Source organism: Homo sapiens, chromosome 2, assembly GCF_000001405.40.
Source record: "Homo sapiens chromosome 2, GRCh38.p14 Primary Assembly".
Taxonomy (NCBI): domain Eukaryota; kingdom Metazoa; phylum Chordata; class Mammalia; order Primates; family Hominidae; genus Homo; species Homo sapiens.
In genome coordinates, this window is record NC_000002.12 from 181,597,163 (window position 1) to 181,620,624 (window position 23,462).

The 23,462-nt window shown below is 36.9% G+C and overlaps 1 protein-coding gene across 7 annotated transcripts in view; it reads right to left on the reverse strand.

Annotated features, from left to right (window-relative positions):
• CERKL (CERK like autophagy regulator) overlaps positions 1-23,462 on the reverse strand; it is a 120,434-nt gene that overhangs the window by 60,491 nt on the left and 36,481 nt on the right. For all 7 annotated transcript variants that reach the window (NR_027689.2, NR_027690.2, NM_001030312.3 and 4 more), the window contains exon 2: positions 6,675-6,917. Coding sequence is in view for 5 of the 7 variants with exons in the window: in NM_001030312.3 (NP_001025483.1) it covers positions 6,675-6,917 (243 nt within the window). In the remaining 2 variants the exon portion in view is untranslated. The remainder of the gene's footprint in view (positions 1-6,674; positions 6,918-23,462) is intronic.

Sequence of the window (23,462 nt, forward strand, 5' to 3'; positions counted from 1 at the left end):
AGTCCAAGATAAATAGTAGTTTTTCCTATTCTTTTATTGAGCAAATTTTACATAATACCTATGTTTTCATACATTTATATTTTCAGTTACAATTCTGATAAAATTAGGAGTTTGGTTTAAAAAGATTTTCTTTTGTTAACAATCCTTTAAAGACTTAACCAGTGCCACTAGTCTTTCAGAATTTAATACAAACTAGTTTTTTTCTCCTTCTTTTTTCCAACATAGCTGACCACAGACCTTGGATGCCAGCTCTTCTTAGAAAGAAGATCAAAGTTACTGTCAAATGGACAAGTTTCTAATGGAAAACTGGGGAAAGAGAGCCAGGACCTTTTGGAGTGCCCATGGGAAGAAGCTGGGGTGCAGAAAGGAAAAGTAGCTAGAGTCTGGCAGAGATCAACCCCCAAAGAATTCAAGGCCCCACCCTTGTGACCCAGGGCAATGTTATTGGTGGTAATTTAGGAATTTCCCAGGGATAGAGAACTGGGTGGCCAGCTCCTGCAGGGGTTCCCATACTCCCCTCAGACACAAACTGAGATGGTGGTCACCATATTGCTTGTGCACCAGTGGTGGGCCTCTGCTCTGCCCAGGGATTCTCTACCCTTGAGTCTCTGTAGCACCAGATCCCCAGCAAACATACCTCATAACCTGTTCTGACTTTGAAAAGCCCAGGGGGCCAGCAAGTTCCCAGGGAGCTATGGAACCTCTAGAGATCTAACCCCCCTAGTGTAGGCCACCTATAAGGGAGAGGGACACAACTTGCCAAAACCCCTTTGGGACAAAGGAAAGGTGGGCACAGTGCCAATCGCTAAAGGGGGCAACACCATGTCAAGGAACGGATATGGAGAGGGGGTCATCTGTGGCAATACCCTCCCACCCCACACGCTGTTGAAGACGCAGCAGTGGTTCTTCCCACTGGGGGCCAGCACAGGTACTCGAAGAAAGAGTTTTTCATGGTTTTCAAGATGGCTCCACCCCTGCTGAAAGTGAGAATGCCACTTAGGCTTACATAAAGGGTGGGGCCCAACTCCCCATCCCTACACAGAGCAGCAGTGTCCCAGCAATGGAGGACATACAAGTCATGGAGTTGTCTGCCCTAGACTGGGGGAAGAGGCTCTGCCCCAAGACCATTTTGGTGGTTGCCTTCAGAGGGGCATATGCATAACCTACAGACAGACTATGGCTGGGAACCCAAGGAAAAAATCTTTATGAACTGAAGGTCATGAGCCCTCTGATGGGGTATGATAGAAAAGCAGATCACATTCCTGCATGAGGAGCTAGTGCACCTCCCCCTATCTCCCCCCAACCAGCGACCCCAAAGGCCTCGGCACACACCAACAGAATCTCTTCCTGTCACTCCCCTGTCAGGACAGGTGCTTCTACTGGACATCAGCCTAACTGAGGGCAAGCTGGTTCTTATTTTTTAAGTGCCATCTACTGGATTGCAGCCTGAACTGTACTATCAAATAAAAAGCCCACTACCAGAAAGGCTTAGCACTACTCCACAAAATAAGCTTCCTGAGACTTCTGCACCCTCAGCCCCACATGAGATAGAGTGTCAGCTCACAAATCCAATACATTGCTACAATAAGCAGCATTTAAGAAAGCTACCACGCCCAAGGAATCCATAAAGAGCCTTGGCCCCCTGAAAGCACCCAGAAACAAAGTTGAATGATCACACACAACATACACCATAGTCATACCCTCAAGGGGAAAAAAAAAAAAAGTTTAAGTCCCGCCCAACCAATAGGAAATTCAAAAATAAGAATCAACAGCTCCCTCAGATAAGAAGGAATCTGCCCAAGAACTCCAACACTACAAAAAGAGTGTCTTCATACCTCCAAAGAATTGCACTAGCTCTATAGCAATGGATCCTAACCAAGTTGAAAACTTTGAAATGACAGACTAAAAAAACAAAATATGTATTGCAAGGAAACTCAGTGAGAGCCAAGAGAAATTTAAAATCCATTTCAAATAAACCAGAAACACAATGCAGGATATGAAACATGAGATAGCCATATTAAGATAAAACCAAATAGAACTTTTGGAATTGAAAAATTCACTAAAGGGAACATCAAAATACACTTGGAAGCAGGCCAGGCATGGTGGCTCACACCTGTAATCACAGCACTTTGGGAGGCCAAGATGGGTAAATCACCTGAGTTCAGGAGTTCGAGACCAGCTCAGCCAACATGGCAAAACCTTGTCTCTACTAAAAAATACAAAAATTAGTCGGGGGTGGTGGCACTCGCCCGTAATCCCAGCTACTCCAGAAGGTGAGGCAGGAGAATCGCTTGAACCCAGGAGGCAGAGGTTGCAGTGAGTCAAGATCATGCCACTGCACTCCAGCCTAGGCAACAGAGTGAGACTCCATCTCAAAACAAAACAAAACAAAACAAAACAACACTTGGAAGTTTTAACAACAGACTACACCAAGCAGAAGACAAGATTTCAGAGCTTGAAGACCACCTTTTCAAATTAACCCAGTTAGACAAACATAAAGAATCTGAAAAATGAACAAAGCCTTTGATAAATATGGGATTATGTAAAGCAACCAAACCTATGACTTACTGGCATTCTTGATGGAGAAGAGGAAGAAGTAAGCAAATTGGAAAACATATTTGAGGCAATAATTCAGGAAAATTTCCCTAATCTTGCCAGAGAGGTTAACATCCAGATACAAGAAATTCAGAAAACACCTGCAAGATACAAGATGACCATCCCCAAGGAATATAGTCCATCAGACTATGCAAGGTCAACACCAAAGAAAAAATATGAAAGGCATCTAGAGAAAAGGGCCAAATTACCTATAAAGGAAATCCAATCAGACTAATAGAGGACTTCTCAGCAGAAACCTTACAAGCAAGAAGAGATCAGGGGCCTACTTTTAGCCTCCTTAAAGAAAAAAGAAAATGCCAGCCAAGAATTTCATAATCTGCCAAATTAAGCTTCATAAATGAAGGAGAAATAAAGTCTTTCCCAGGCAAGAAAACACTAAGGGAATTTGTTACCACCACACCTGCCATACAAGAAATACTCCAAGGAGTTCTAAACATGGAAACAAAAGAACAATACTTGCTACCATATAAGCACACAAAAGTACAAGGCTCAGAGATCTTATAGAGCAATTACACAATTCAAACTAGAAAGCAACTACTTAACAATACACAAATATCAAATGTATAGGAACAAAACCTCAAATATCAATATTAACTTAGAACATAAATGGCCTAAATGCTCCACTTAAAGGACATAAAGTGGCAAATTAGATTTTTTAAATGACCTAACCTTCTGCTGAATTCAAGAGACCCATCTCACATGTAATGACAACCATGGGCTCAAAGTGAAGGGATGGAGAAAGATCTAGCATGCAAATAGAAAATTAAAAAAGAACAGATGTTGCTATACTTGTATGAGAAGAAACAGACATTAAACCAACAACATCAAAAAGAGACAAAGGAGGGCATTATATAAAGGGTTCAATTCAACCAGAAGATTTAACTATCCTAAATAAATATGCACTCAATGTTGGAGCACCCAGGTTCATAAAACAAATACTACTAGACCTATGGGGAAAAAAAGCTATACAATAATAGTGGGGGACTTCAACACCCCACTCACAGCACCAGACAGATCACCATGGCAGAAAACTAACAAAGGTATACACTGGACTTAAATCAGACTCTTGACCAAATGGACCTGACAGACATCTGCAGAATATTCCACCCAACAACACAAAATATACATTTTTCACATCTGTACATGGAACATTCTCTAAAATTGACCACATAGTCGTAAGTCACATCTCAATAAGATAAAAAAAATCAAAATCAATGCAAGTGTCTTCTGAGGTCACAATGAAATAAAATTAGAAATGAAGAACAAGAGGAATTCTCAAAACGACACAAATACATGGAAACTAAACAACCTGCACCTGAATTCTGAAAAAACAAAATTAATGCATAAATCAAAAAAATTGAAACATGAAAATTGAAACACAACATACCAAAACCCCTGGGATAGGCACTTTAATGAATACCAGAACTACATGGACCTGCAATTGAAAGAAGATTCTTAAAGAAAAAACTTCTTGAGATATTAGTTTTAAGAGAAGTGCCAGCCAGGTGCGGTGGCTAACACCTGTAATCCCAGCACTTTGGGAGGCCAAGGTGGGCAGATTGCCTGAGCTCAGGAGTTCAAGACCAGCCTGGCCAACATGGCGAAACCCCATCTCTACTAAGTAATACAAAAATTAGCCAGGCGTAGTGGCGGGTGCCTGTAATCCCAGCTACTCGGGAGGCTGAGGCAGGGAGAATTGCTCAAACCCGGGAGGCAAAGGGTGCAGTGAGCCAAGATCACGCCACTGTACTCCAGCCAGGGTGACAGAGTGAGACTCCATTTAAAAATAAAAAATAAACAAAATTTTTTAAAAGTGCCAGTGTAACACAAGAATTGGTAGAGAGCTTTGGAGCCTCAACCATTCATTTGTGTCTGATGAAGATAGCCAAGAACTGTCTTTGTGGGGAGTAGGATAAGGAGTTGGCATCTCCTACAGGCCTCCCTGAGTCCACTTTGGTGCAGAGATGGAGCAGTAATGTATCAGTCAGTCTTGGTTAGGTTTCTTCACTCTCATTAGAGGATTTTAACAGTTTGTTTGTATGAGTTGATTTTAAAAGTCAATCTATTTGCTTTTAATCAGCAAAATCACTCTGTACTCAAAGACCATGCCAGAGAATGACTCCCTGAGTGCCTCCAGCTCTTATCAAAATCAAAGTTTCAAAAAGTAACATTTTCAGAGGATGGTAGACTAAAGGATATGTAGTTTATTCATCTCTGTAATTTGTCTAGATTTTAACCCTAGATCAAACAAAAACATCACTCATTAAGCTGAATAAATATTTGGACATTGTTTTTTGTTGTTGTTTTTGTTTTTGACAAGTCCCTCTACTCCTATAAAATTGCTTTTACTGAATTGAGCTTTGTTGTGATGTCCTCTGCTTCTTACTTTCTCTTGGTTTTATGGCTGAGATATATTGAGGAAGTTGCCTCAGTGTAGCCCTTCATAAGCCCCATGGGAGAAGAGTTCCTCAGACCTTAAGCGCAAGAATGAGCTTTGACTCTCCTAATTAAATGACATATCCTTATTTTATAGACAAGACCATGCAAGTTTTATGTATTCCTGGTCATGTTAATCAATTTACTTCCACTGAAATTATTAATTTTCATTTTTACTTTTTAAATCACTTGACATAAATTTCAAATAACACTGTAAAGGATTCACTATTAAAGTGCTTTTATTTAATTATACATATTCTCTATGTTTCCAGAGAGATAAACTAAACTACAGCCTCTGTGGGTTCTTGTCTTCTTGAAATAACCAAGTCTTCTTGGAAGTCCCAAAGGGGCTAGCAGGGAAGCATGGAGCCACTTAGTAAGAGGGTCTTCCAATTTTAATGTAATGTCACTTCAGCTCATCTCGCATGAGCATAGCTTTATTGGCTGGCTGCCTTTGATCAACTTGGGTCCTCATGGTTTTCTTCATCAATGATGCTGGAACTGGAAATTTCTAACATGCCTCTGTGACTGCTCTTTGTCTAGCACCCATTTCTATCCTGTGCCATCTAACCCTAAACTGTGCCATCAACTATACAAGCTGCCTCTACTCTGATCTGACTGATGCAGCAAACAAGAAGAAATGAATTAACAGAAAAACAAGCAAGATTCATAAATCTAAGACAAAAAAAATAAATCCTAAGATCATATTTTAACTAGATAACTTCTAGAAATCCAAATTGCATTATATTTGTACTTATGAATTGCATTATATTTGTACTTATGAATTTTATTTAGTATGCAAAATATGAAAATGTCATTTAGAAATTTCAGATACACTGAATTCATTAAGAGATATATCCTAATAAACATGTTCTCTTTTCTCTGGAAATTAACCTTTAGAAAAAGCTACTGTGAAATAGGTAATTCTCAATTACCAGAGTATAAAGCATGGCCTCTTAAGATTATTCAAAAAAATCTTATTTTCAGGCCACAGAGTACAAATACACACTTGCCATCAATGTGTGAGTGGAAGGAGAATACATTCTTATATAGTTCAAAAAAGACATTAATAGAAAAATAAATACGCTTCTAAAAACAACTCTCAGGTGAACTAAATTATTTAAGTATTTTATTTCAGATTATTGAAGCTTCTTCATGAAAATAGTCATTCAAGAGTTACTTCCTAACTCATTCTATGAGGCCAGTATTACCCTGATGCCAAAGTCAGACAAACAGTACAGAAAAACTACAGAACAATATGTTTTATGAATATTGATGCAAACATACTCAACAAAATATTAACAAACCAAATTCAATAGCATCTTTAAAAGATTATACACCATGGCCATTGGGGAGTTATTCCTGGAATGCAAGGATGTTAAACATATGAAAATCAATTAATATAAGATACCACATTAACAGGATGTAGGGAAAAATATGATTATCTCAATTAATGTAGAAAAAGTATTTAGCAAATTTCAACACTTTCTCACGACAAAAACTAGGAACAGAAGGAAACTATCTCAACATCACTAAAGTTGTTTTTACTCAAAACATGTCTAGATTAATCATGTATATCAAGGAAACTGGGCTGATTAAAATTTCCCATGAGGAGTACTTACCTGCCAATATTTTCTTGAACTGTCTAAACCATATGTCACAGTGGTCTTCACTTAAATTAATAAGATCAAGTGTAGAATTCTTTAGTTTATTTTGTTCCTTTTTCAAGCAGATGAAGAGTGTGATACCTAATAAAGTACCACTTCTCTGCTGTTTAACAGAACAACGCCGTTTCAGTTTCACAGAGAATATGTCTTTGAGTTCAATAAATTCTTCTTTACATAGCAAGTCATACTTAGAATCACCTGAAAAAAAAATAAATTTTCCAATTAAAACCATTGTGTTTCATAGAGAGGAACAACAGACACTGGGGCTTACCAGAGGGTAGAAAGTGAGCAAAGGGAGAGGATCAAGAAAAATAACTAATGGGTACTGGGCTTAATACCTGGGTGATGAAATAATCTGTACAACAAACCCCCATGACACAAATGTACCTATATAACAAACCTGCACGTGTACCCCAGAACCTAAAAGTTAAAAAATAAAATGAATTACTAGTAAGAAATAAAAATTGTGACCATATCTTAAATGTATGAATAATAGTTAAAACCAAAAAAATTCATCATTTGTAATTTTATGGATTGCCCTTTATGCCAGTCCCTACGTGAGATGGAAAGGGGAAGAAAAGAAAAATTGGGTTTATTTTGTCAAGAATTAGATTAAAAATAGAATAAATGGAAGAGAGTCCCTGCCACACAGGCCTACAACATTCGACATCTGAGGATAGTCAATGTATGAAGAATTCCAAGAACATAAACAAAGCGACATTTTAGTAATAAATTGGTGTCACATAAGGAGCTCTTTGGTACTAAGGATAGAGTAAAGTAACAGAAAAAATAGAATTCACTAACAGAAGTGACTTTATGACAAATTGTTGAAGGCAGCCTTAACGAAAAGGAAATATACATTCCCATTAAAGTAACACATGCAAAGAGGAAGCAGAAGTACAATTATTGTGAGTAGGAAACATTATAAACTCTGTCAATCTAGGAGGAAATAGCCCCCTGAATTTAACCATAATCAGACTTAAAAAAAAATAGTGGCATAAAATTTTCATGACTTATCTTTAAACCATAGGTCAGAAAATAATTATTGTGGAAAAGACCATTTCAATTGACTCTCAAAGTAGAAGTGTTTTAGACCTTAAAAAAAGACTTCCAAAACTTCTGCTTTGGCCAATGTGGAATAATAAGAAACTAGTTTTACCTTTCACCTAAAACTACAAAAGCACACAAGATACGTGAAACAGTAGTTTTCAGACATTGGACATCAGGTAACACAGGACAGTGAAGCCGAAGAGGAGGAAAACAAAGTGGACCCTACGACCGCCCCAACCTATTGCCTGCAGAGAATCTCCAGGTCACAGGGCAGATACAGGAATCCTGGTGGGGCCTGGTGATCTCCCTGAGTTAAGGAGAACTGGGGGTTCAGGAAGGCTAAGGGGACTAGAGTTCACTGTGCAATTTACTACAGAAGAGAAAGCTGAACAGTGAACACTGTAGATTTGCAGAGGTCCCCTTGAGACTTTAGCTGAAAGTATTGATCAGCAGATGTACAAAGCCAGATAAGAACTACTAGAAGAATTAACAGTACAATGCTTAGAGATGACACAGGTGTTCCTACCAGCTGAAGTGGAAAAACATGGAAATTCATATGACATTATGGTAAGTATTTAGAAGAGTATTGGTCCTTAGTGAGCTGGCTAAAGACTGCTGTGATTCCACCTAACAAAACTTAAAAGCAAGCCTCTCAAAAGGATGTCACTTTTTCCAGGTAACTTAACTACATCCTAGAACAATGCCAAAAAAATATTTACAGGAATAGAAAAAAAATTCAGCCATCCTGCACAGTAAAATTCACAATGTCACTCATCTAATCCAAAATCACTAGACAAGCAAAGAAGCAGAAAACATATGAACCAAAATAGGAGAAAAAGTAATCAGTAGAAATACATGCAGAAATGACTCGAGTGCTAAAAGTAACAGAAAGCAGAGACCCTCTCTCAGCTTTTTAGTCCTTGAAGTATGAACAATGTTATCCTCCGATTGGAGTGAGGATGTTCATATGCTCACTAAGAAGTTCCTTGCTTGCATTCTCAGGGGCATTTTTGGCCTCTCCCAACTATTCTGCAAGCTATAGTCTGATTGCTCACAAAGTATACATACCACTAAAAAAAAGAAAGCATGGAAGGAATGAAAGAGAGAAGGCAAGTAAAAGGGAAATTAAAAAAAGGAAGAGTGAAAAAGAAAGAGAAAGAAAGAAAAAGACAGAAGGAAAGGAAAGGCAAGACAGAGAGAAGGGGACAAGGAGAAGGAGACAGACGGAGAGGAGGGAAGACAGGAAGGAAAGAAGAAAAAGGAAAGAAAGGAAAAGAAAGACAGGAAGGAAAGGAAGGAAGGGAGGATGGAAGACAAGGAGGAAGACAGGGAGTGGGGGGTGGGAGGAAGACAGGGAGGGAGGGGGAGGGGGACAGAGAAGGAGGGGAAAGGTTGGGAGGGGTTAGGGAGAGGAGGGGGAGGGAGAAGAGGGGGAGGGAGAGGAGGGGGAGGGGAGGGGAGAGGAGGGGGAGGGGAGGGGAGAGGAGGGGGAGGGGAGGGGGGAGGAGAGGGGAGGGGAGAGGAGGGGGAGGGGAGGGTAGGGGAGAGGAGAGGGTAGGGGAGACGAGGGGGAGGGGAGGGGGGAGGAGAGGGTAGGGGAGAGGAGGGGGAGGGGAGGGGGGAGGAGAGGGTAGGGGAGAAGGGGGAGGGTAGGGAAGAGGGAACGGAAAGGCCTTTTTCTCAATTATTGTGGTCATGGGATAGGGTAACACTAAACATTTTTTGGTCTTCTATTTCTTAGAAGGCTCAAGTTTCAGTTCTTCTCCTGGTCCATTTCTACAGTCACCCAGTGACCTAAAACTCAACACCCTCAAAGTATCAATTCAACAGGCTCTTTTTCCTTCAGGTATCAGAAAATCAAACAATCATTACTATTACTAAAATCACCACTTAATCAGAGTAAAAGTATTTTAGTGAAATGCTCTGTGTGTCTTTATAAAATGAATGGTTTGTCCTGTCCCGGTCAGTAAATACTAATTGATTAACCCTCATCAGTAAGACTGACTTTTCTCTAGAACATCAATTCCCAAACTCTTTAGTCTCAGGCCCCACTGTGCACCCTTAAAGACTGAGGGCCGCAAATAACTTTGGTTTATGTAGGTTATATCTATCTATAATTATTGTATTCAAAATTAAAACCAAGCATTTTTAAAGGACAAAAATGCAAAGCACAAAGCACACACTCCATTAGGGCAAGGCTATCGCCACATATCCCATAGCTTCTGGAAAACTCCACCGTATCCTTGGAGAGAAGGAGAGTGATATACATTCTTAGCAATATTATAAAAACAGTTGTGACCTCACCAACCCTGAGAGTCCCTGGACCGCACTTTGAAAATGCTACTTTAACACATTTTAGATTGCTTGTTCCCCTTGATCATATTATGAAGTTATAGCCTTTTACAAATTCAACATTACAATTAACTAAAATTCTTGTCTCCATTTTAACACTCATGCTTGTCACAGACTGAACAGTGAGAGTCCCTTCAATCTAACTCCTTTGTTACGAACTATAGATGTTTTTGAAAACAGCCCTTCTCTTATAAAAACAGTGTTTCAAGCTCATCTGGATTCCCCAAGAAGTCCTGGTTCCCTTAAGGAAGAATATATTAGAAACAAAAAGCTGGATAGTATATGCAAAGGAAACCAAACTCAGTCACAGCAAATCATTGGTGGTACACTTGCATCTGGTCAGCATATTACCAGTCATTTGCACCTGTTGAGCAAGTAGGCTTATGGCCAGGGTCCCCAAAATGCTTGGGAGAGACCAGGGAAGTCTTGCACCCTTCCTCTACCCTCAAGAATGAAAGCAAGCAGGCTTACCAAAGGTCCTGAAAAATCCTCACCCTATGATGGACTACATGGGAAATACTGTCCTGTGAAGTTTAAGGAAGCTTGTCTTCCACACGGGGGTGTTACTGGGTGTCCGCTTCACATAGGTGAATGCATATAGATAAGATGTATCTCTTACCCACCTTAAAATAACTTGTAGGCTTGGTTATATTTGTGGGTATTTTCCAAAAATCAGCTAGTCAAACAATTAATGAAACTGAATATCTTTTCATTTCTTTTTCTTTAAGACACAGAGTCTTCTTATGTTTGCCCAGTCTAGAATGGAGTGGTTATTCACAGGTGTGACTGTGGTGCACTACAGCCCTGAACTCCTGGGCTCAAGTGATCCTCCTGCCTCAGCCTCCCTAGTAACTGGGACCACAGGTGTGCATCATCACACCCAGCTCACTTTTTTTTTTTTAAGAGTTGCCTCTACACATGCTTTGCCTTATTCTAAACGGTTGTCTATTTTTTTCTTACCAATCTTTAAAGTCCTTCAAATAATCTTGAAATTAGTCCCTTATTATATAGGTTGCAAATAACTTCTTCTAGACTAATTTTATAATATTAGTTATGGTCTTGTATCACATATAAATTGAGAGTCTCTTTTTATGTAGTCAAACCTAGAACAATAAGAGCACAAAGGAAGGAAGCTGGGGGATGGAGCGGGGTGGGGGGAGGGGACAAACAGCCACTGAGGGAAAGAAAAAATGAAAGTGATGAAATAAACTCTTTTAACTTTTCATTGAAGTCCTGTACTTCAGTCTGAATTTAACATGTTTGTGCTTTACTTAACAACTCAATGACTATTCCAATGTAAAATATCTTGTAAATTGCAAATTTAAAGATACTAAACCAAAAGCCAACATCACACTTACTGAAATCCAGAAGGATTTCCAAAAACAGGGCAAGAATACCTATTATTACTCATAGCATTCAATTATTCTAGGCATTCTAGTCAGTACATAAGGAAAGTGAAATAAAAGACAGTAATTGATGGATTTAAGGGGAAAGGAGGAGTTGAAACTAACTATTTAAAGATGTTATCATAATTTTTTTTGTAAAATCCAAAATAATAAACTTAATGCCATTAGGCCTAATAAAAAATATGCAGTGAGGAAGCTGGCTACAAATATGTCTACACCCAAGAAGAAGGTATAATGGAGATAAAAAAAATTCCCATATCAATTAGCATATTATATCTAGGAATAAACTTAGCAAAATGATTCTAGACTCGTGTGGGATAAAGAGCCATTCAAAATCTACTGAGAGACAAAGGATTGAATAAGTGGAGATACAACAAGTTCCAAGATTACATATTTTCCATGCCAGTATTCTCTTTATTTTCTTTTATTATTATACTTTAAGTTTCAGGGTACATGTGCACATTGTGCAGCTGAGTTACATATGTATACATGTGCCACGCTGGTGTGCTGCACCCACTAACTCGTCATCTAGCATTAGGTATATCTCCCAATGCTATCCCTCCCCCCTCCCCCCACCCCAAGTAACTACTTATAATAGAACTTCAATCAAAATCTCCGTGGTATTTTTTGATGTAAGGAATGGACAAGGAATCTCATAAAATATTTGAAAATTCTCTTGGAATAAATATATTACAGTAAGAAAATGTTTTAAAAGCAATGAGGGGGCCAGGCACAGTGGCTCACACCTGTAATCCCAGCACTTTGGGAGGCCGAGAAGGGCAGATCACCTGAGATCAGAAGTTCGAGACCAGCCTGGCCACCATGGTGAAACCCTGTCTCTACTAAAAAAAAAAAAAAAAAAAAAAATTTGCCAGGTGTAGTGGCACACACCTGTAATCCCAGCTACTCAAGAGGTTGAGGCAGGAGAATCCCTTGAACCCAGGAGGCGGAGGTTGCAGTGAGCCAAGTTCATGCCACTGCACTCCAGCCTGGGTGACTGAAACTCTGTCTCTAAATAAATAAATAAATAAATGAAGTAATGAGGGGGAGTACACACCCTATCAGATATATTTGGTAAAGCTATTACAATAGAAGTATCTAGGAATAGAGAAATGAATAGATCAGGAAACAATTACACATTTAAAAATTCACTGATGTGATAATGGTGGCATCTAAGCGCCGCTAGAAATAGCAAAGGATGATTTAGAACTGACTAATCTTTTGTAAAGAAAAATAGGGCCCTATTTCATAATATACACCAATATTTGTATATTAGAAATTTACGTAACCTTAAATAGAAAAGCCGTAAGACACAAAGGAAGACAGACATCAATATATTTAACATTAAAATTATTGAATACCTAATAAAGACCTCAAAAGTCCTAAAGACTCATAAAAAGTCATAAGCAAAGGCCAAATGGACAGAAATATTTGCAACATATGACAGTTACATAATCTATTTAATCAAGAAAAACACTTTAATGGTAAAGTACATAAAAGACCCAAGCAGGCATTTCACAAAAGAAGAAATGCAAATTGACCAATGAACAAATGAAAAAGTTCAATCTAATTAGTAATCAAAGAAATGCAAATTAAAACAACAAGATACCACTTTTTGCCTTTTAGATTGGCACAAGATCAAAAATAATGCTAAATGATGGTGCAACTAAAGGGAAGTAGCCCCAGTGCTGGTGGGAATGCAAAAATGGTAATTGCTGGAGAACAAGTTGGGAATATGTATCAAAAGACTTTAAAATGTTAATTGCACTAATATTTATAATAACAAAAGTATCTGAAGCAATATTCATGCTCTTCAATAGGAGAATGGTTGAATAAATCATAGTCATCTTCTGCAGCTCATAAATGAGTAAGTGAAATCTCTGTATTCTGGTCTGGAAAGACATTCATGCTAAGAGGTATGAAAAAGTAGAATAAAAGCAAGTTACAAAGTAATCTGAGGGATCTGATCCTGCTTTTATTAAAGGAGATAAAAAGAAATCCCAGTGGAAAACACACAACAAATTTAACACTGGTTACCTATTAAATATGCAATATGAGGTATGAAATATGAGACTAATTTTTTCTTATGAAGCTCCATAATTTTCCTTTCTTGTAATCAGAATTATAATTATTTTTAATGTAGAAAAGGAAAATTCTTTAAAATATACCTGGTTTTGATCCAGCAATTTACTTCCAGGAATTTACTCTAAGGGAATAAATATGCACAATTTAGCTAAAATAATACTTATCCAGGCCAGACGTGGTGGCTCACGGCCTGTAATCCCAGCACTTTGGGAGGCTGAGGTGGGCGGATCACAGGGTCAGGAGTTTGAGACCAGCCTGACCAACATGCTGAAATCCCATCTCTACTAAAAATACAAAAATGAGCCAGGCATGATGGTGTGCACCTGTAACCCCAGCTACTCAGGAGGTGGAGGCAGGAGAATCGCTTGAACCCAGGAGGCGGAGGTTGCAGTGAGCCAAGATCACACCATTGCACTTCAGCCTGGGCAACAGAGTGAAACTCCATCTCAAAAAAATAATAATAATAAATAAAAATACTTACTTACCCAAGCATTATTTGAGTGAAACTTGGAAACAACCTAAATGTACAATAATGGAGTATTGGTTTTGTTAAAAAAAAGTATATTCATATAACAGAAGGCTACTCAGCTATTAAAATGTAGAGGTCAGTGTAGTGGCTAATGCCTGTGATTGCAGTGTTTTGGGAGGCTGAGGCAGGAGGATAACTTGAGCCCAGGAGTTTGAGACCAGCCTGGGCAACATAGTGAGACCTCATCTCTACAAAAAAATAAAAAATAAACAAACAAACAAAATAAACCAAATAAGCTGGGCATGGTGGTGCTTTCCTGTGGTCCCAGCTACTCAGGAGGCTGAGGTAGGAGGATTCCTTTAGCCCAGGACCTCCAGCCTCCAGTGAGCTGAGATCACACTACTGCACTCAAGCCTGGGCAACAGAGTGAGACCCTGTCTCAAAAGTAAATAAAATGCCGGGCTGACTAGAAAGATGTTCAAAATAGTACAGCACATTTCCATTACTGTTTTGTATATATTTATAGAATACATATGTGTAATGCTTTCATATGCATGTAAGCATGAATATGCATATGAAAATTTGAATGGTAATGACACTGTAGTTTGCTTATATAAATGTCTAATTTGTCTTCAGTGAAAATATTTCTGTGATCGATTGAAAAAAAGATTGTTTCACTTGCTTATCCTAAAATAGTTTGATTAGTTTAAATTTAAAAATTTCCATTCTCTAAAAAATAAGGGTAGCTAATAATGAACATGTGTTACACACCAAACGCTGTTCTCTGTACTTCATTTGTATTATCTAATTTAATCTCTACAACAAAAACTAGATGCTTTTTCCTAAAAGAGAAGAAACTGAAGACGGAATGTAAGTAACTTGTCTGTGGTCACACATCTGGTAGGAACAGATCTAAGATTTGAATCCAAGCATTTTGGATGATTTTTACTACAACTCGTTAACAACAGACCCATGTAAAGACCTTCTTCAAGGAAACAATCACTAACCCTGTCATCTGTTTTGTTTTTTATTAAGGTATAAATTACCAACAAAAATTACAGATTTGTAAGGGCATAATTCCATGAGTTTTTTTAAGTATATGCACTCACATAACCACTATCCCAATAAAGATACAGAATTTTCCCACTATTATAGAAAGCTCCCTCATACCACTCTCTAGTTATTCCCTCAGGACCATGATTTTTTTACTATAGCTAAGTTTTGCCTTTTCTAGAACTTCATATAAATGTAACCATAAAGTATGTGCTTCTTTGTATCTGGTTTATTTTACTCAACTTTAAGGTTTTTAGATTTATCCACAGTGTTCTCATACTTAATTGGATTAATAAGTGTCAAGAAATTAAACATATTAAATATTATAAGATTAATAATGGACTTTTAAAAAAAACTAATGTATGACTCTCCTTGGAGGACTTATTGGTCCCATCTTCCTCAATCTCCAACCACTTGCTAATTTTTTCTTCCAAATTATTTTTTAATTACAACTTTATTTTTTGCTGTTTTATTACAGTATAATTGACCAATGAAAATCATATATATTTATGTATATATTACAATATAATTGACCACTAAAAATTGTATCTATGCTGTATAAGATATTATAAAGAAAAAGCAGTATTTTTCTGATTCATATGGAAAATGAAATGAGGTACAAGATCAGTACCATACACGTTTACAATGTGAAATGATTAAAATCAAGCTAAGTAACATATTCATTACCTCACACCTTTTTTTGGTGTGTTGTAAGAACATTTAAGACGTAGTCTCTTAGTGATTTTCAGGTATTAGCAATTTTCAAGTATACATTATTAGCCATAGTCACAATGCTATACAATAGATCCAGAACTTATTCATTCTGTCTAACTGAAATTTTATACCTTTAACCATCATCCCCTTGCTTCCCCTCCCCCAGCTCTTGACAACCGCAATTGTACTCTCTGCTTCTATAAGTTTGACTTTTTTGGATTCCACATATAAGTGAGATCATCTGTTTTTAAATCTAGCCAAATTTAAAACAGTAGGTGAACCACAGTTCTGCCTGCAGTCCTTAGGAAAACAGCAAGACAGCATATGTATAAATTAACTGAAGAGTATTTCATCAGAAACTGGGGCTGCCTTCAAGGAGATGCGAGGTTAGACTGCAGCAACCAGGAGGACCCAACAGTGAAAATTCTGAAAATCCTTGTAAGGCTCTGAGCAGTATTTCCTGCTTTTCCAGCTCAAGCTTCCAATCTCTACTCCTGCATTTGTGTACAGATCAAAATCTGAGGTTTTCACACGAATGGTCTTTTTGCCAATGTTACAAGAAGAAATTAAAAAGAAAAACTGTAGGCTTAGAAGAAATTAAAAAGAAAAACTATAGGCTTAGAAGAAATATTTAGTTCTTATTTGAAATTAGTAATTTGTGAATTCTTTTACAAATGTATAACAATAGACAAATGTTCTTCAGCACTCCATTTTTCACAACAGTGAAACACTGTAAATCTCTCAGGTGTCAATATCTCACATAGAAAATCTGATCTATTACTCATTTTGGCAATATTAACCATTTATGCTACATGAATAAATGTGACCAGTTCTAATCACAAGAGTCACTTGATTTTGCATATAACTAGTTCCTAACATATATGAACATGTATATAATATTAGTTTTAAGGAAAATTGTTTTCTCACTCTGAATATAGTCTTTGGGAATAAAACTTGTTAGTATTCTATAAACAAGCTTAAAATGTTTTTATTTAAAGTCTTGAGCCATCTAAATATTGTTTAATGAGTTATCAGATTAGATGGTGCTTTGCTATGTCTTTGTATTGTTACCGAAGTTCTTATATGAGGAGTGGACCAGCTGGCTCTGTGGGGTCGCAGGCCACTGGCTTCCTAGACTTGAGAGAGAGCTAAAGCAGAAGGCTTCTGAGGTTTCTCAGGTTTCCAGGTGAAAAGCCCTCCAGCTAACTTCAGTGAAGGTTGAAGGTTCAAGGTTCTAGAGATCATCTGATAAGATCAGCTGAAATCTAAAAAGGTCTTTCTTTCTTTTCAACCCCCACTGCAAAACATTTATTTTTTGGACATTCTTAGAATATACAAATACTTATGGGAAACATAATTAAAGAGAAAAAAGGGAAAACAAACCATACTGAGAGAAAAAACTGTTGTCTTGGGTATATTTAAAAATGGACTTCTTATCTATACACCTTTACGGTATCACCTTAAGAATGACTCAGACTCATTTTATTTTCCATATGAATCACAAAAATACTGCTTTTTGTTTATAAAATTTTACTTATAAATTTTTGAGTGCTGAAAAAATATTACATCTTTTATGTCTGCTTCAGTTGTCATCTACAAGATAACTACTCTGATTCCCATGCTAGCCACTTCTGTTATAGTACAAGTTTCTGCTAGAAATAAAAGCAATTGTTTTCCTAATTGTATGTAAAAGCTACATTTCCATATACAGCCCAATACATACAGACAGTATAGTAAAAGAGGAGTTAAAAAAAAATCACCACATACTTTGGGGCATGTATTTTAAATATAACTTTAATTCTACCTTAATGTTAAAACATACCTTTATTGGTAAAAAATATGAAGTGAAACTCTATTCATAAATTGATATTTGATATCAGTAGATAAAAATATAGAAATCATCTATTGACACTTTTTTGCAAGTTATGATAATTAAATCCTTATGAATGACATATAATTTTGCTTGGCGGCATGTGGTTTATTATTTGAAATCTACTGGTTCATTAGTATCATACTGGTTATAGCTAGTTGTTTCAGAACATTAACTGTCCTCTCACATTACTTACAGAGATACTGGGGACCATCTGTTCTTGCAAGGAACTTAAGTATACATCTACTGGGTATCATGCTATTTATTTAATTCAGCACCCACTTCCTATTGTTGTATTTTTTTGGGGGGAAAAGTCAACTTAATTACAGGGAATAAAGATAACCTCTCCTGGCAGGTTACCTTGTCACCATGAGAGCAAAGCGGGACCTGCTTAAAGTAGGTTACTTACGGTGGTTAATAAGAAGAGCAAAACCAACAAGACTTAAGAATATTTAGCAAAGGTTTAACAAAAATAGAACAGCGAATGGCACTTTTAAAAATATTACTGTAAGCCTCGGGCTTGTCTAAATCAATCTTGGCACATCTGTCTGATGTAGACCGTAAACAGGATTAGAGCTGGATTTATCTGCTTGGCGCTAATTGTGCTCACAGTTTCTGCACATGTCCACTTTTTAAAATACTGCCTGAAAAACAGGCCTGCCTGATAGATGGCTCCCACAACATAGTGTATACACACACTTATGGTATATTAGATGGTTAAGCAATGTGATGTCTAACAATTTTTTTGGCTCTTCAGAATTGGTTATCTAATCCCCTAATTAAAAATACAAAATTCTGTTTGAATACACCACATACTGAGATAAATCTGTGAAGCAAGGGACCAATAAATTTAAACACACTTTAATTGTTAGAAGAAAACACAATTTAATTGTTAATAATCAGGTTAAACTAGGGTTTAAACAAATAGGGCTGCTCCTGTAGTTTACTGAAAACCCATCACAATATAATACTATCCTCAAGAATTATGACATAACATTTATTAGCAGAAAAGCTTAAGTTCCTAAATACATACATATATCAAGAGTTACAACGAAGTAGGCTTCTTATCTAGTAAAAGAATTAGAGGGAAATTTTTGAACTTATTTTCAGAGAGAAAGACAGAAAATTACAGTCCAATCGCAAATGTCACATTGTTATCGGATCAAATAAAAAATAGTGAATTTCCAACTGCAATTTTTTTCCATTTAGTTGTTTCTATCATGTGTAAATGGCTGAGATACTTCTTAAGAATGTAAGCATTTGAGGATATACAGATATTTTCATGTGAAGTCTAAGATGAATCAATGAAACAGTCAAAAATCTAAATTTTTTTTTTTTTTTTTTTTTTTTTAAGACAGAGTCTCACTCTGTCACCCAGGCTGAAGTGCAGTGGTGCGATCTTGGCTCACTGCAAGCTCCGCCTCCCAGGTTCACACCATTCTCTTGCTTCAGCCTCCCAAGTAGCTAGGACCACAGGCGCTCGCCACCATGCCCGGCTAATTTTTGTATTTTTAGTAGAGACGGTGTTTCACTGTGTTAGCCAGGACGGTCTCAATCTCCTGACCTCGTGATCCGCCTGCCTCGGCCTCCCAAAGTGTTGGGATTACAGGTGTGAGCCACCGCACCCAGCCTAAATGTTATTCTTTGAGCTTTAAAATACAGACAATAAAAATGCTAATCTTTAATACCTATGATGTAAAAGTGACATTAAAAATGTTAAATTACATGGTGTATGTTTAATCATAAATACCACATAAAATTGGTAAATTCTTTGAAAAAGAACAGTATAATAGAAATGAGAGCTGTTTGACTTTCAATCATAGACAATCTTCTAAAGCTTTTTTCTGGATATATGATTTATTCACATTCCAAATATCCTGGCTAGTTCTTAGAAATTAATTTTCCTAGATCTCTACCATTAATAAAAAGGTAGGTGTATACACATAGTCTTGTTTTATATAAACAAATATTCAGGAGAAATTGGTGAATTAAGTAAATCTTTTCAGTGCTTATGATAAATTAAAACACCTTCATCAGCAATTCTCAATGTGTAGTCTCAAAGAGTATACAGGGTAAAAACGATTTTTATAATAATACTAAAGATGTCATTTACCATTCCTACCATATTAACATTTGCACTAAAGGTACAAAAGAAATAGTGGGTAAAACTCCTGGAGTGTCAGTATGAATCAAGGTGGAGCACCAAATTTTACTAATAATTGCTGCATTCTTCATTAACTCAAACTCAGTTTAAAAAATCCAGTTTCATTTAACTGTTCTTGATGAAGCAATAACACTTATTTTTAAAAAAATCTCCACCCTTGAGTATATTTTTAAAAATGTTATGAGTAATAACAATGGAAAGTATACATACAGCATTTCTGCTACAAATCGAAGTGGTGGTTTGCTCCAGGAGAAACACTTATATCATTTCAGTCGCAGCTGAACTAGCTGTTTTTCATAGAACACCACTTTTTACTTGAAAGATCAACTGACAATACAGACTCTGGTATTGAGGCAGCAGCATTTGGTAAACACTTTCTGGAAAATGAACAAAGTGAGTCAGTCACTAAGCAAAGCAACTGAGAGCTTTGTCAATGATAAAATATAAAGTTTTGAGTAAAATTAAAATTTTGTAAAACTTGTAAGTGTGATGATGATCTTAACAGCTTTCTAATCTCAAAGAATTTTCTGATGAGACTGGCAGTGACATTAGACTTTTTAAAATATATTATAATAAAAATTATCAACATTTAGAAACTGTATAATAGTAAACCAAATTTTCCAAAAGGCCAATACAGGATGTTATAAAATCATACGTGGGCAAAATATCCATTCAAAGTACAAGACAGACCAATAAATTTTCAAATAGCAAACTACAATTAAATAGATATGTTTTCAGATTTCAAATTATAACCAGCCTTTAAGAAATTAGCACTTGATAAGTTTTGCTATAGTATCAAAGGACAATATCCACAATTATCTGAACATATTAAAAGATGTTTCCTTTTCAGCTGCACATCTGTGTAAAACTGTATTTTCCTTAGATACTTGAATCAAAGCAACATATTCACAACAGACTGGATGAAGAAGCATTCTGAGATTTCAGCTGTCTTCTATTAAGCCAGAGTTGAAAAAACTCAGAAAGTCAAATACCACATGTTCTCACTTTAAGTGGGTACTAAATAATGTGTACATAGGAACAGAGTGTGGAATGATAGACAAAGGAGACTCAAGAGAGTGAGAAGGGGGTGGGTGTTGAAAAATTATTTAATGGGTGCAACGTATGTTATTTGGGTGAAGATACACTAAATTCTCAGACTTCACCACTAAGCAATATATCCGTGCAACAAAATTGCACTTGTACCCCTTAAACTTACACAATATTTTTTTTTTTTTTTTAGAAAAGGGAGATTTGAAAAAATTTAAAATAGAAGAGTGGTACTGCTTTTTTGATTGTTTTGGAAAATAGTTATTTTTAATACAAATATGTTATTTATGTTAATATGCAATGAACTTACTGTTATTTTTATTTTTATTTTTTTTATTTTTTTGAGACAGAGTCTCACTCTGTTGCCCAGGCTAGAGTCCAGTGGCGCAATCTCGGCTCACGGCAACCTCCATCTCCCTGGGTTCAAGTGATTCTCGTGCCTCAGCCTCCTGAGTAGCTGGGATTACAGGCGCCCACCACCACACCTGGCTAATTTTTGTATTTTAGTAGAGACAGGGTTTCACCATGTTGGCTGGTCTCGAACTCCTGACCTCAAGTGATCCACCCGCCTCGGCCTCGCATAGTGTTGAGATTACAGGTGTGGGCCACCATGCCCATCTTTTTGGTTATTTTTAAATAGTAAATATTTTTAATGTCTATTTAATTTCTAATACAACAAATATCAATGGTTATAACTTAAATAAATGGTCTTTGTGGTTTTCAACGATTTAAGAGTATAAAAGGGTTCCAAGACCAAAAAGCTTGAGAACTCCTGGTATATAGTCTTATAAAGACAGGCATAGCCTTATGAAAATTAAGCCTAAAATGGCATGATTTATGCATTGCATCTTTCTTCACCTTGTATTAAATACCTAAGATTTTATTACTAGATTGTTTTTACACCATCTATGCAACAAGTTCCTACTACATCTGAAACATCATGAAATAAAGCAATTTTAAATATTTCATATTCTATACCCCAAGTTCATCATGCAATGTGATTGGCTTTCATCATTTTCATTCATTTCAAGAAGGGCAATTTTGTTGAGATCATTTGTTCCTTGATTTTACTACCTACTTATGTATTTGCCCAGACCTTTCCTTTTATATGTCCACTTCCATCTCAGTCCCTCAGGAAAAACATTTATAAATGTATAGGGTTGGGGGAGGTCTCCAAGAATGGCACCAACAGAAAACATGACCTTAATGGATTCATCTTAATCAAAAACCTAGTCTTTTTTTTTTTGGCATTATCAGTTCAGCTACACAGATCAGTTTGTATATACAGTTCATATATATCATACCAGATGATCTTTGCACCAATTCCTCCTGAGCCTCAGATTATGGTAATTGGCCCTTTCTCCAGCTTCTCAGCAATTCACTTCAACAATATCTTCATCATTATCTTCATCTCTAATCTCTGTATCCCAGCACCTAGCTTAATGCTTCAAACACAGGCTAGGCTTCCAATAAAAGTTTTTTATTGACTGTATTTACTATCAATCAGAAAATCCCTTAATCACACTGTATACATTTCCACCTCTGGACCTTTGCTCCTTCATTTCCTAGCACATGGAAGGCTTTCTTGACTCTAGTCTTTTCAAATATTAACCAACTGTCGAAGCACATTGAGCCACTCTTCTAAACAATAACCTTCATTTCTCAGTCCCTCTGAGCTCTTAGGGCCCACTACTACTCAGTTGACATTTAATCGCATATCAGAAGTTATTAACTTACCAGAGGGTGAAGGTTCAAAGGTCTTTGAAAGCCTTTAATAACTTGTTATAAAATACTAATTAAATGGTGGTTTTAAGATGGTAGTAGTGGGAGAGGTTAGAGAAAGAATAAAACTGTAGTAGTTCAAGGTAAGTCTGAAAGTTTACTTCTTTCATTTAACAAGTTTGAATACCTACTACATTCGAGGCACTTCTTTGTGTATATTAAAATGTTAATATTAGTGTAACTGAACCTCCATGGGCAACTGTTGCTATGAGAACAAAGGAAAAAGTGCTTAAACCTTTTGTGGCCTGAACTTGCTGGACTGTAGGAACAGGATGAGATGTAAACCACAATGATGGTTTCTATTGCCAGGGTGTAAGGATTATGTCTGGGCATGGGCTTCCTTATTGGTAAAGACCCTTACATACAGTTCAACTCACTAATACTCTTTTTTTCCTGAGGACCTCAAGGATAGTCATATGTACTTTGCTCTCACTTTTGTCATTATTGTCAGCCAAGGTAGTACCTCTGCAGGTCAGATCCCATTACTTCCCAGCAGTCACGGTGAGGATATCGCACAGCCCTCTAAATTGTCCAAAGGGTTCTGCTACTTAGAAACACTAAAAGTCTGACTTTTATACCATGCCCATTCAGTTATCCCCTCAATGCTCTCAATATTTGATCATAAGATGACAAAAAAGTATTCAGAACAACTGTTGAAAGTTCAGAGTATTTGAACTCGGCACAGGCAGATCTGTGTTGCTGGAAGGGAGAAGAAACTTTACCTGAGAGATTAAAGTAATTGTTATTTTTA